The sequence below is a fragment of the Homo sapiens genome, chromosome 2, assembly GCF_000001405.40.
Source record: "Homo sapiens chromosome 2, GRCh38.p14 Primary Assembly".
In the NCBI taxonomy this organism is placed as follows: Eukaryota; Metazoa; Chordata; class Mammalia; order Primates; family Hominidae; genus Homo; species Homo sapiens.
The window spans coordinates 110,042,262-110,055,415 of record NC_000002.12 but is presented as its reverse complement, the minus strand read 5'-3'; the positions used below and the strand labels follow the sequence as shown (position 1 = coordinate 110,055,415).

The 13,154-nt window shown below is 50.2% G+C and overlaps 1 long non-coding RNA gene across 1 annotated transcript, besides 5 other annotated features; it reads left to right on the top strand.

The window, feature by feature from the left end:
* Positions 102 to 640: an enhancer, noted in NCBI's record as "H3K27ac hESC enhancer chr2:110812353-110812891 (GRCh37/hg19 assembly coordinates)". NCBI's record gives its function as "activates a minimal SCP1, AML or CMV promoter by ChIP-STARR-seq in naive H9 embryonic stem cells {active_cell/tissue: H9 hESC(naive)}" and the evidence as "EXISTENCE:reporter gene assay evidence [ECO:0000049][PMID:30033119]".
* Positions 641 to 1,179: an enhancer, noted in NCBI's record as "H3K27ac hESC enhancer chr2:110811814-110812352 (GRCh37/hg19 assembly coordinates)". NCBI's record gives its function as "activates a minimal SCP1, AML or CMV promoter by ChIP-STARR-seq in naive H9 embryonic stem cells {active_cell/tissue: H9 hESC(naive)}" and the evidence as "EXISTENCE:reporter gene assay evidence [ECO:0000049][PMID:30033119]".
* Positions 5,841 to 6,686: an enhancer, noted in NCBI's record as "H3K27ac-H3K4me1 hESC enhancer chr2:110806307-110807152 (GRCh37/hg19 assembly coordinates)". NCBI's record gives its function as "activates a minimal SCP1, AML or CMV promoter by ChIP-STARR-seq in naive and primed H9 embryonic stem cells {active_cell/tissue: H9 hESC(naive and primed)}" and the evidence as "EXISTENCE:reporter gene assay evidence [ECO:0000049][PMID:30033119]".
* LOC105373986 (uncharacterized) lies at positions 6,851 to 12,561 on the top strand. Its single transcript, XR_001739118.2, has 6 exons — positions 6,851 to 7,041; positions 7,398 to 7,497; positions 7,805 to 7,892; positions 8,322 to 8,796; positions 11,385 to 11,555; positions 12,217 to 12,561. It is a non-coding gene; the product is annotated as an uncharacterized LOC105373986 (long non-coding RNA).
* Positions 7,535 to 8,381: an enhancer, noted in NCBI's record as "H3K4me1 hESC enhancer chr2:110804612-110805458 (GRCh37/hg19 assembly coordinates)". NCBI's record gives its function as "activates a minimal SCP1, AML or CMV promoter by ChIP-STARR-seq in primed H9 embryonic stem cells {active_cell/tissue: H9 hESC(primed)}" and the evidence as "EXISTENCE:reporter gene assay evidence [ECO:0000049][PMID:30033119]".
* Positions 12,192 to 12,757: an enhancer, noted in NCBI's record as "H3K4me1 hESC enhancer chr2:110800236-110800801 (GRCh37/hg19 assembly coordinates)". NCBI's record gives its function as "activates a minimal SCP1, AML or CMV promoter by ChIP-STARR-seq in naive H9 embryonic stem cells {active_cell/tissue: H9 hESC(naive)}" and the evidence as "EXISTENCE:reporter gene assay evidence [ECO:0000049][PMID:30033119]".

Here is a 13,154-nt window from a genome sequence, read left to right as displayed (position 1 = left end):
CCCTGTACCCTTTCCCCACTGGCCAGGGTCCGGTCATACAATCTAAACTAATCCCAGTTGGCTAAACATTTGAATTTTTTTTAGATAAGATGGGCACATAAAAGAAAGTGGAGAGGAAGGGGAAGGGGTGTCTGTAATGAACTAGAAAGTTAGTCCTCTTTCCAAATAAGGAAAGGAATGTGAGCTGGTACTGATAACGCCTGGTACTGTGGCGTGCCTGGGCATCTAACAAAGGCAAAAAGGAAAAAAGGTTGGGGGAGGGGTACTATGAATTAAAGAATAAAAGATTGATCAGATTATTTGAAGAGAAACCTCATCATGAGGCACCGTCTTGACGGCAGCACCTTACGTGTGCCAGTCCAGCATCACACTGTAGCCTGGAAAAAAACTGAGGCAGGGCTTATACAATGAATAATTCATTTGAGCCAAATTTAAATGCTATCGCCTGGGAAATACTTCCAAGTTAACTTGGGAAGTGTTCCAGAGAACAAAAGAGAGGCTGAGGCTTTGGAAACAAAAAAATATATGACAAATCAGGAGAGGGCTCAATTACAAAAGTTGTTTTTCAGCCATTCCAGTTGGTGTGATCATCTCTAGAGCAGTCTCGGAAGTCAGGGTATTGCTTGTCAGTGAAAAAGGCGGTCTGTAGTCAGGGACCTCCTAGCTCAGCAGAAGGCAGGCAGCTGGAGTTCTGGCCGTCATGCATTCTTCCCTTAAGGCGTGCCTGTGGCTCAGCTGAAATGGCCTTCCTGCTCCATTTTAGGTGCCTTTACCAAACCAGTGTCATTTTCCTTCCTCCACACTTTTGTTCACAGAGCACCTTGAGATAGCTCAGTTGATCCTCCATTATTGATCTCAAAGATTAAGGGGCCTGTTGAAACTCATTTGAGATTCACACAGTGATGTGCTGGTGTATGTGTAACAACCAGCTCTCCAAAAACAATTGTATATACATATATATGCATACATTCATTGTAAAACATTTTTGATATGAGGAATGTATGCCACACTACTTACAAATAATAATAAAGTAGACAATACTCTTAGTTGTAAATTCCATATTGCCATTTGATTCTCAAAGAACGCTTTTGTTAATTCTTGACAAATTATTGTTTCTGTAGCCAACCTATGGGTACAATTGACAAATAAGAATAGTTCCAATATAAATGATAGTTGATATTTTCCTTTAAAGAAAAACAATGCATACATATGTCACAACTTTACTCATCCATCCATAACATGAGCAACTTTTTTGCTGAATCGGATAATGGTTTTTAAATTTTGAAAGAATATTCAAAATAGCAGAATCTGAAAGCATCCCAGACCACAAATTTGCCCTCTTTAGAGTAATTTTCAACACTTAGAATGCAGATACAGATCACGCTTCATATAAACCACAACAGTTTATCTGGTTTGTCAGTGTGCAGATGAGAACCACAACTATTGTTTTCCAAAGAAGAGGGCTTCCAGACGTTCATGATGAGGGCTGCTAATTCACCCTAGTGTGTAACCTATGCAAGACCTCAGAAAGGGTGAGACAATACTGAATCGGTGAAATGTCACCTCTTCTGACCAGAATTGTGGCTCTGTGCAGAAATCAAGCTGGAGGGTGGGTTTATCTTCAAATCAACTCATTTCCTGGCGGCAGTTAGTGACGGTAAGGACACAGAAGAAAGATGGGTTTAATGGGTATACTAATTTCAGATTTATTTCTGCTGATTTTGCAAAGCTATGTTTTGTTTTGTTTTGTTTTTTATTTTTTGAGATAACCTCTTCTCTGTGGGAAGAGAAGTTTCGCATTCTGTTTGGCACAGCAGCAACTGCCCCAGGATACTGCAAATTCCTGAAACCAAAGCTGGAACCAGTTCAGAAGGAACAGGGACCTTGAAGGTATGGATAAGGTGATGGGGCACAGCGCTGACGTGCTTAACTAGTGGGGATTCGTGGGGTTGGATATCTGGATTTTTAAGAAGTTTCCAAGGGGATTCAAATGTATATCCAAGGATAATAATCTCGTCCGTGTGTTTAAAATCACAGGCTTTAAAGACAGACAGGCCTGAATTTGGTTACATCTTGGCCTCACAATAGAAAAGTGATTTAGGGAAATGATGCAATCTCTTCATCCATAACATGGAGTTCATAATAACAGACACTTCACAGAATGATTGATGGAGCAGAGGAAGTAATGTTCATATGATGTCTGGAAGAAAGCAAGCCCCCAAGAAATGATTGTCATTGAGACAGCCAGGTGGGAAGGGGTCCGCAGAGAAACTCCAACCTGCCTGCACACTGGGGTGGAGTTACAGAAGTTCGCACTGTTTGCAGCGGGGAGGAGCCTGGCCCCTCCTCTTCCTGGGTGGAAACTGGGATTCGATCTGCAAGGCAGGAAGCGCACCAGCAGGGACTCCAGCTTCGTGGAGGGTCTCTGTTTCCCATTTTTCCCCTTTTTGTCCAATAAGCTCCTTTTTTCTCACTCTTCAAAGTGTCTGCAAGCCTAATCTCTCATGACCTTGTGACAACAGCCTGGCTCTTAGCTGAACTAAGGAAAAAGTCCTACAACATCGTCATGACCATCACCATTATCATCATTGCTGTTATCACCTTCATCACCATCACCATCATATCAGCAACATGATCATCAACACCATCATCACCACCACCACCACCATCACCATTATCTTCATCATCACCATCATGTCATCATCACCAATCACCATCACCAATATCATCACCATCATCCAACATCATCACCACCACAATGACCGTATGACTTGAAATGGCCAGGGTCCTTCCCTGATTCTCACTGTCCCCTTCTGAAGTCAGGGCTCACACATCAAAAGCTAAAAAAACAAAAACAAAAACAAAAAACAGTTCCTGCTTCCCAAGCCCATTAGATTCAGACATCCTTAATTTGTTGGAGCAGTTGCCTTAACAAAAAGCCATCCATCCACTGGACATCTGCCATAAGCTCACCAGTTTTTGCTTTATGTGTGGAGTGGGAACCAGATTTTATCAGTGCTAACACGGAAGCCGCACCTAGGAGTGATTAAAAGGGAAGTAGGAAATGCAGCCAGACAGCCGCCTGCAGCCCTAGCTGCCCTCCCTTGGAATCTGGGAGAGGTCTGAGTATCAGGTCAGGTCTGAGTTTTATAAATGGGCCTGAAACTGCCCTTGGCTTTGAGGTTCTGACAGGTAACTTGGCCGGGTCTTCTTCTCTTGAGGCCTTGTGTTGGTGAGCCCCCTGCTCCACAGACCTGCCTTAGCCAGGCAGACTTGGCTCCCAGCCTCCCTTTCCACACTACAAATTGAGTTTTAATTGGCAATTCTTATCTATTATTAAGAACAATTACATGAATTCCCAGGAATTTTTTTACCAAGTAGATAAAAATAGATACACCTGGGTTCTTTTTGGGATGGTAAACTTACTTGATGCAGTGCAGCAGATGGGGCCATGCTGATTGGCAAGGCAGAGGCCAGGCCTTTGTGGGATGCACAGCACAGAGACGGTATTTCTCCTGCCCCTTCGTTCTTTACCAGGATGCCTTTTGGAGTGCATTCCAGCGGGGAGGCTAGGTCTGGGGCTCACTTCCGGCCTCCATCTGAGAGCCGGGAGACCGGGGCAGGTGTTGGGATGGCCAGTCCAAAGAGGGTCCTGGGCCTGACAGCTGATTAAACACCCACGTGGGTGACAGCAAGAATAGGGGACCCTGTACTCTTCTCAGCATGTCTCTCACTGCGTGACCTGGAGCACATGACCTTACCTCTCTGCCTCTATTTATCCACTGGAAAATGAGGAGCTTGTCCCAGACCAGTGGTTCCTCAAACTGTGTTCTTTGAACCCTGGGGGCTGTGAATGGGACTTGCAGGGGCTGCTTATGGAGGAAGTTCAGCACAGCAGGGGTCCCTGGGCCCCCACATGCCTTCAAGCCAAACAGAGCTGCTCCACTCAGATCTGCTTTGTTTACGAGGAGTCTATATCAACCTGAAAAATAAACTTCTGCGGCTAACAGAGTTGTTGTGCTGGGGCATCTCTCACCCCTTCCCTGAGAACTCACTAGGTTCCTACCATATGCCAGGCACCATGCTAGGCACTGGGGCCACAGAGGACAGACCAACCCGGTCCCTTCCCTCCTGGGCTTGGAGTCCAGTGGAGAAAGACGGACAATCTGTAAACAAACAAATAAGATGAATAATGGTGGGACTGAGTGCAAGTGGAGAATTAAAACAACGTGGTAGACCCTTAAGCAGAACTCTGAGATGGTCCTTAGTGGGTGAGGAGCAGAGGGGCAGTGTTATGGTTGGCCATGGGATGAGGGAGAGTCCCACAGCTGAGGTCCAGCCACCAGTGTCCCTGTGTCTCAGAGCGGCCATCTCTGGGCAAATGCAGGGGCCTCTACATTCGAGTCCGGAAGGTCCCTGGGGAGCGGGCCACAGTGAGCATTGAACCATAGTCTTCACCCCACCACTGGAAGTGTGTTGAGTCAGCATGGGCTCAACTCAACCCCACACAGACCAGCTTCCACCACTGGCTCGCAGGGGCACCTCATGCAGGTCACTGTTCTCCCTGCATTCACAAAGAGGACACCGCTAGGCAGGGTTGCACGTGGGAAGAGGCCAAGAACAGGGCCTGGCCCACAGTGGGGCCACATAATTGCTCGCCTGCAGCCCTAGCTGCCCTCCCTTGGAATCTGGGAGAGGTCTGAGTATCAGGTCAGGTCTGAGTTTCAGAAACGGGCCTGAAACCGCCCCTGGCTTTGAGGTTCTGACAGGTAACTTGGCCGGGATACAGGTGTTCATCATTGCTTCCTGGGGGCTAGTCCGGGACCTTTAAGTCAAGCCCTTAGGGACATGAGTCAGACTTTGGCATCTCTGCCTCCCCCTCACAGCCCCTCTATTCTGCAGGCAAACAGCAGGTGCCCAATAAATGCCCAGGGCATTGAAAGGTGAATGAGTAATGATGCTGAGTGTGCCTGTGCAGGCGGGCCCCACTCAGAGGACTCCTCCTTTAGCCCTCCCACAGTCTAGCAGGTGGGCTGTCCCAGCACCGCTGCTTGCCAGGCAAGGAAATTGAGACAGCAAAACAGTAAGTTATTTCCCAGACCCCATAGCCGGCAAGTTCCCAGGGGACTGGAGCCTGGCAGTCTGGCTCTTCTGGAAGGACAGGGCAGGAGAGCAGAACACAGAACACGTCTCCCCTCTCTCTTCTGATGCTCTCAGGGAGGTCACATTTCCCTGGGGCCCTGGGAGAATCCTGGGTCAGATTACAGCAGCACAGGTCACCTGCTCCAGCCCAGACAGGCCCAGGATCTGGCCCATCCACTGGCCCGGCCCTTCCTGGCCACCACTGTAGCATGTCACAGCCTGGGCTCTGGGTGGGCCTGGTCCCTCTCCTGGTTGCCGCCACTGCAGGTGAGTCAACAGCGAGACAACACAGTAACACCCTGCACAGGGCCTAGAGCCTACACCTGCCTTCTCTGTCAGCCTCATCAGCTCTATGCAGTGAGGACGCAAGGCTGAGAGAGGTAAATTGCTTGGCTGAGGGCATGCCTCCAGTAAGGATCAGGTCCAGGTAGGAAACCAAGACATAGCCTTCACTGCTGCTGGGGAGGTGCCTGAGGATGGGGCGGGAGGGGGCACATGCTCACCAGCCTCCCCTTTCTGGGTTTCTCTGACCCACCCTCTGTTCCTCGTCTTCAGGCTTCAGCTCTCATCCCTGACCCAAGGGAGGCATTTCCCACACAGCTTTCCTCCCTTCCGGGGCTCTCAGGGATGGCGCCCTCCCTCCACCCACTCTGAACCTTTTCTGGAGCCCCTGAATCCCATGCAGCCTCAAGAGGTTCCTGATGCCCTAATGGATGTTAGCTTTTCTCTGTGAATTGTCTGTCTCCTTTCCTTGGGAGGGAGCAAGGCTGGGCTTCACATGACACAAGTACTAGGATTTTGCTTTGTCAAAGGAATGCATATGATTTATGTGTGTGTGTGTGTGTGTGTGTGTGTGTGTGTGTGTGTGTGTGTGTATATATAGTATTTTCCACTTATTGCCTATAATTCAGAGGTAGGTATCGTGTCCCAATTTTGCAAGTGATAAATCAGTCTGAGAGAAGTTGCTAACTTGCCCAAGGTCACACTGCAAGTGGGTGGTAGAGCTGGGATTTCAGCCAGATCTGTCTGTCTGTCCCCAAAGCCTGCGGCTTCCCCACTGGAACCTGGAGCCTCTCAAGGCCTCCAGAAGGATTTGCTGAGCAGTTTCAAGATAAAGCTCAGTCAGCCCTCGCTTGGTCTTCAGTCCCGAAGGAGGCCACAAGCTGCCTTCGTGCCCAGCACAGGTTTGGTTTGCGTGAGTGGCTGAGGATGAGGCAGGAGCCCACACCAAGCTTCCTGACTTGCCAAGGGCACAGACAGGGGCTTGGATGCACTGCACCCGCACCCAGGCCAGCCCTCCCTCCAGGGCTTCAGGGTAGCTTTGTGAGGTCACTCAACTGCTTTGGGTCTCAGCCTCCCCAGGTGTAAATGAGAGTGTTTCTGTGCCAGGAGATGAAATGTCAGCTCCACTATTCTATGATGTTGATTGCAAGGCGCCCTGAGCTCCTGGAAACTCTAGGAGGTGATGATGATAACTGAGCCCCTGTGGCTTCCTCCCAGCTTAGGTTACCAGGCTCCTGGGCCTCACAGCCAGCCTGTGGCCTGTGTTACATGACCTCTCTGCTTTTCTCTCCCTGCAATTCATGCCAGCTGTGTCCTGAGCAGCCGACCTCGGCACCAGCCACCACGTCCCGTGTCCTCAGCGCAGGCTTGCTGTTACAGCTGTCACGAATTGCAGTGTTGGGCTGAAGTCACACCAATGGAGATGGCCAGCTCAGAGGGGCCTTCTGCAGAGATGAACGGGAAGCAGGGCTCTCATACAGGCTCTTCACTCTTTGCAGGAACGGCTATCCCCTTCCCCCAAGGTGGAGCTGACAGCCACTGCCTGTGCCTTGTTGTCTGCCTGGCAGGCCAGCACTCCATGGCTGGGAGCAACCTGCAGTGCCCCCTGGGCTTTTAGTAAGGAGCAGACATCCCGGTGTTCCAGGAAGATAGGAGGGGAGGGAGGGAAGGGCAACACTGCCTAGGCAGGTTCGTTCCACAATGGACCTGAGTGCAAAGGGCTCCCAGGGGGATGAACACTGCCTGGAGATGCGTGCCAGGAGTCTGGTGCCCAGAGCCACCAGGGCCCACCCCAGGATATAGCCCCTGAGACTTTTGACCTTGATGGAGGGTGGGTGCTATGCCAGAAGTGAGCTGTGGCCTGGCTCTGCCTCTCACCTGTCCTGTGACCTGGGCGACTCCTCACCTGGGAAGTGGGGCTGGCGGTCAGAGGTGCCGCTTCCAAAGGACATTCTCTCCCCACTCACCATCAGCAGTTCCTGCTGCTGTGGCCTCCACCCTTGGACCAGATGAAGGAGTTCATCCCTCTGCCCATGACCCCACTGCTCCGACCCCTCCACCTGGGCCCCCATGGTGAGTCCAGATTGATCACACTGGTCTGGAGCCTGCACTGACACCCCAAGGTCTGTGTGGAAAGACCCTGTCCTCAGGCCTTTCGGCATTGACACCAGCTCTGAGTCATCCAGTTGGGGACACCCTTCTTTCTCCATCTCAGCCCATCCAGTTGGGACAGGCAAACATTCAGCCAGGCAGTGGGGCAGGCAACTGTACATGCCGGTTTATGTGACGGGCCTCCATGCCATCTTTGCTGCCCTGGCTGGGCACCTCCTCGGCACACAAGGCTTCTCCTCAGCCACTTTGTTTTCTCTGGTCTCTGCAGCTGCTGGAATGGAGTGATGGCTTTGTGGCTGGGCCCCAACAGCACCTGCAGTCGGCTCCCAGAACTCACAGACAGCGAGGACTGCCAGGTGACCCCAGTGGGAGGGCAGCTCTGTCTCAACCATTCTTTGCTGGGGAGAGAAGCAAGGAGGTTATGGGGAAGTCCCCAGAAGAGGCTAAATCTCTGGGGATCAGAACTAAGCCTCATTCTCCATGCCTCATTTATGAGGTATGCATGAGGTGTCCATGCTGTCCTTGGGGAGCAGTCAACACCTCCTGCCCATTCTGACCTTGTACCGCGGGACTTGCCTAACCTGGAAATGAGCTTAACCCACCTCCAGGGCTGCTGTGGGGATGGAATGGGAAGATGCACAGGGAAGTGTGAAGAGGCTCAGAGCGACCATGCCCACACAACACTCAGGAGAGAAGCCATGGAGATGTGGGGTGCACAGTGATATGCACACTCGTGGCAGCCGCCTCGTGACCCAGCCATTCCCACACATGCCATGTGTTGCCAGGTGCCCCGTGTGTGCAGTACAGGTGCAGAGGAGGACGAGGCAGGCCCCCTGGGAGCTGGCTATGCCCCTGCGGTGTCCTAGAACAGCTGCAACTGTTGGGACTGCAGAGCCACAGAGAGTTGGAGGAGAAGGTGAGAGCCTTTCCTTAGCCCCAAAGCTCCACAGACCACGTGGACTAATTCCTGCTCACTTCCATGTGCAGGGAATTTTCTTTTTCAGAGGAAGTTGGAGGGACAGAGAGCTTGGGGGATCCACAAAGAGTCTCGGCAGAGTGAACACCTAAGCTGAGGCCCTGACTCAGCTATGTGCAGGTTTGGGTATCAGTCACCATCCCGCTGCCTTCTCACCCCGGGCCCTGTTGTCCCTCAGCAGTGCCCACCTGAACAGGAGCCAGGCCCACAGTGCTCCAGCTGCATTTTGTGCTCTCTGCACTACTTCACAGGCAGAAGCCCCAGCTGCCAGCCCTGCCCCTCAGGTAGGTGTGACTGGGCTTCCCCAATGACATTCGGGAGGCACCAGACCCTGGAGTGAGCTGGGAGGGTCCTTGGGTCTCCTGTGTTTGGACTAGCCTGTCCATACCCCAGGAGCCCAGGTGGCCTCTGAGGGGTAGAGCCCAGCTAGCCCTGGGCCCAAACACACAAAGAACTATCAACACAGGAAGTGGCACAAATGAAATGAGATGATGCAGAAGAAAGAAGTATGCAGAGTGTTGGGGAACGGGGCATTGGAGGATGGCTGGAGTCCTGTTCTGCTCCTGGCTAGGGTGTAATCTTGGCAGACTGTTGCAGTTCTCAGTGTACAGGTCCTGTTAAATTTATCCCCAAGTAGTTCATGTTTCTGGATGATGTTGTAAGTGGAACTGTATTTTTTATTTCCATTTCCAGTTGTTCATTGCTGGTAGTGATTTGTGTGTATTGACCTTGTATCCCTCAACCTTGCTTACTTCATTTATTTGTTATGGTAGTTTTTGTGTAGATTTTTAAGGGTCTTCTCTGCCGGTAATCATGTTATCTGTGAATAAAGATGATTTAAATTCTACTTTTCCCTTTTTTTTTTTTTTTTTTTTTTTGAGACGGAGTTTCACTCTTGTCGCCCAGGCTAGAGTGCAATGGTGCAATCCCAGCTCACCGCACCGCAACCTCTGCTTCCCAAGTTCAAGCGATTCTCCTGCCTCAGCTTCCTGAGTAGCTGGGATTACAGGCATTTGCCACCATGTTTGGCTAATTTTGTATTTTTAGTAGAGATGGGGCTTCTCCATGTAGTCAGGCTGGTCCCGAACTCCTGACCTCAGGTGATTTGCCCACCTCAGCCTCCCAAAGTCTTGGGATTACAGGCGTGAGCCACCACGCCTGACCAACTTCTACTTTTTCAATCCATTCACATTTTGTTACTTTTCCTTGCCTTATTATACTGTCTAGGGACTCCACTACTGTTTTGAATAGAAATGAACATCCTTGGCTTCTTCCTGATCTTAGGGAAAAAGCATTCAGTCTCTAATCACAACGTTGCTGTTAGCTGTAGTTTACGGGTGCCTTTAATCAGGTTGAGGACATTCTCTTCTATTTCTTGCTGAGTTTTATCAGGGATAGATATTTAATTTTGTCCTGTGTTTTCCTGAACCTATAGGGGTAAGCATATGGATTTTCTCTCCTTTGCTCTGATAAGATGGTGAGTATCATTGTTTTTTGGATGTTAAACCAATCTTGCATTCCTGGACTTCATGTGGTTATGATGTTATCATTTTTACATATCATTGAATTTGATTTGCTAACATTTTTGTAAGTTTCTTTTAATCTTATGTGTATGAGAGACATTGTTCTGTAGTTTTTTCTAGTCTCTTTGGTATCAAAGCAACACTGGCTCAACTAATTTTCCCAGGAAATTACTTGCAAAGTAGTCCCTGCTCTTCTCTTTTTCTGGAGGAGTTCATGTCTGTCTGGTATGAGTTCTCTCTTGAGTATTGTATAGAGCTTAGTAAAGCCATAGGGCTTAGAGATTTCTTGGTGGAAAGATCTTTACGAATTAAATGTCTTTGACACGTTTAAGGCTATTCAGATTTTCTATTTCTTCTTGCAACAGTTTGGGAATTTGTGTCTTTCAAGGAATCTGTTCATTTTCTGTTAGGTATAAGGTTGATTGTCAGAGAGTGGTTCAGGCCACATGTTTACTGCCCTTTCAGTGTGTCATCTGCAGTGAGAGCTCTTTTTCATACCTGATATTGGTACATTTTTTTCTCTTTTTCTCTTTATTAGTCTAGTTAGGGCTTTATCAATGTTATTTATCTTTTCAAAGAACTAGCTTTTGGTTTTATTGATTGTCCTTATTGATTTTTCTGTTTTATTAATCCTGATTTACATTTGCTCTCCTCTTTTCAGCTTCCCAAGGTGAAAGTAGATAGCTGATTTTACATCTTCTTTGTTTTCTGATTAGACATTGAATCCTGTAAATCTGAATCTATGCACTGCTTTAGTTATATCCCACACACTTTATGATGGTGTGTTTCTATTATTACCCTTTGAGTTAAAATGCTTCTAATTTCCCTGTGATTTTTTGTCTAATGGATTGTTTTGGTGTGTGTTGTTTAATTTCTAAGTGTTTGGGGCTTTTCTGGGTGTCTTTGATTTCTAACTGAACTCTATTATGATCAGAAAACATACTCTCTAATATTTCAATCTCTTGAAATTTATCAAGACTTTCCTTATGGCAAACTGTGTGAGTTTGGAAGGTATTTAACTCTCCTCAGGCCTCCCTTTCCTTATCTCTAAAGTGGAATTGATCATAACAGTGCCTGAATGCTTCTATTAGGTGAAGTCCTACATAGAAAGCTCAAAGTCAACACTCAGTAAATGGTAGCTACTGCAGTTAGAGCCAGACTGGTTAGTAGCTACCAATTTAAATGCAGAGCTCCCAGTTGGGGCTGGACCTCTGCGTCTAAAGAAAATAACAGGCATGGAGCACCTCACCTCGGAGACAAGAGCTTTGTCATTTCTCATAGGTAAGGAGCCCCTTGGCCGACCCTGCAGCCCCCAACACATGCAGCCCCTGTTCTTCCCACCTCTCCAGCTCCTGAGTGTTCCACGGCCCCACCGTTGCCTGTGTTCTTAGAAGTGGGTGCAGGTAACCCAGACAGCAGCAAGCTGGGGAGAGGCCAGGTTGGGTCAGTCTTCATTCCCAACCCACAGATGACAGGCAGGAAAGATGAGTGGTCGCCTCACCAGCCACCGTGGATGTGAAGTAAGCACCTTCTCAGGGAGGATTTTGGGCATCCCAGCCCACCCAGAGGTGCACAGACGACAGCATTGCTGTGCAGAGCTGGGTGTGCAGTGACAAGGACCATGGGGGACACTGAAGCCTGTGGGAGGCGATGTTATGGAGAAAATGCGGACACCTGAGACTGCCGGGTTCTAATAACCAGGGCTCCCCAGGCTCAGAGGGGTGGCTGGAAGAGAGGAGCCCAGGAGCTGGGCTTCCAGGCACCCCTGCTGACCATCAGCAGTGCTGCTGAATGCCAGGAAAGTCACACTCAGGGGTGCAGCCAGGGTCTGGCAGGCCCCAGCCCTAGGAATTCCATGTTCTCTGGGCTCAGCTAGGAAAATCAGGACCCGTACAAGTTTAAAGGCAGCCTGGATTATTCAACTTAGAGTTTTAGCCAAGACAGAGGAACGATGTGGCTGGAAATCACTAGCTCTGAGGATGTGAGCCATGGAGAAAATCCTTCCAGATCCTGAGGATTAGGAAGGGTGGGGGAGGGGAAGGGCATCTCAAAACATTCGTTATTTTCATTATTGTTAACTTTAAGACTGTGTAGGTTCCCCCCCAACACCCCCACAAAGGCAAAAGATTTACCTCCTCAGTTTTGTTCAGGGTGGAAATGAAATGTGTCATTCATTCCCAGTGCTCTGGCCACAGGGCAGCAGCGGCGAAGGCACGGAGGGGAGCCCAGCACAGGAGGGCAGGAGGGAAGCGGCTCAGACACCATGTGATCAAGGTTCTCTCATCAACTCACCTCCACTTCTGCAAGGCATTACCGCCCCCACCTTGAGGCCCTCGGCTTTCCCTTTGCCCACCCACTCTGGTGTGTGTTGGGGACAGGCCAGGTGCCAGGGCTGGGAGGGGGCCCCTGGAGAGGAGGGGGCATGGGCTACAGAGCTGCTCCATGGGAAAGAACAGGCCCTGGTGCTGCTTTGCCTGTCAATAAGAAGTGGGGGCCTCAGCTAAGTGTCTGGTGGTCTTGCAGGGGACCACAGGTTACACTGCAGTGACAAGGAGGGGCTGAAGGGGCAGAAGGGGAAGAGAAGCAGAGCTGACAGGGGTCCCAGCATCCTTCCGGCCCTCTGTGCACCCCCACTTCTGTCTCATGTGCCAGGCCCTGGGGCAGCGCTGAGGGTCCAGGTGCTCCCCATCCAGGGGAGAGGCAGACGCCAGAGCTTCCCTAAAGCTGCGACCTGGGAAGTATTGAATCAGGTGGAGACAGGGCCCTTGAGGCTCAGATGAGGCACCCCTGAGAGTCTGTCTGCTCAGGGAGGAGCCCAGGAGGCTTCTTCCAGGCTGGGAGCGCTCCCCACAGAGGAAGCAGCACTGTGCAGAAGCAGAGAGTAGAGCCTGTGCTGCTCTACCCTGCTCCCTGGCAGTGATGGCACATGGGCCCGGGGTGGGACCCAGCCTCACCCTGCATGGTGCAGACCCCCCAGAAGCCACTCCAGGTGCCAGGCTTCCAGCTCACCCTCCACAGCCAGCAGACTCCCCAGGGGATGAGGACCCCAAGCCCTGGTGGGACCCACCCCATGAGGCCCCCCTCACAGGCTACTTCCACCCATATGGTGCTGCCTTTGT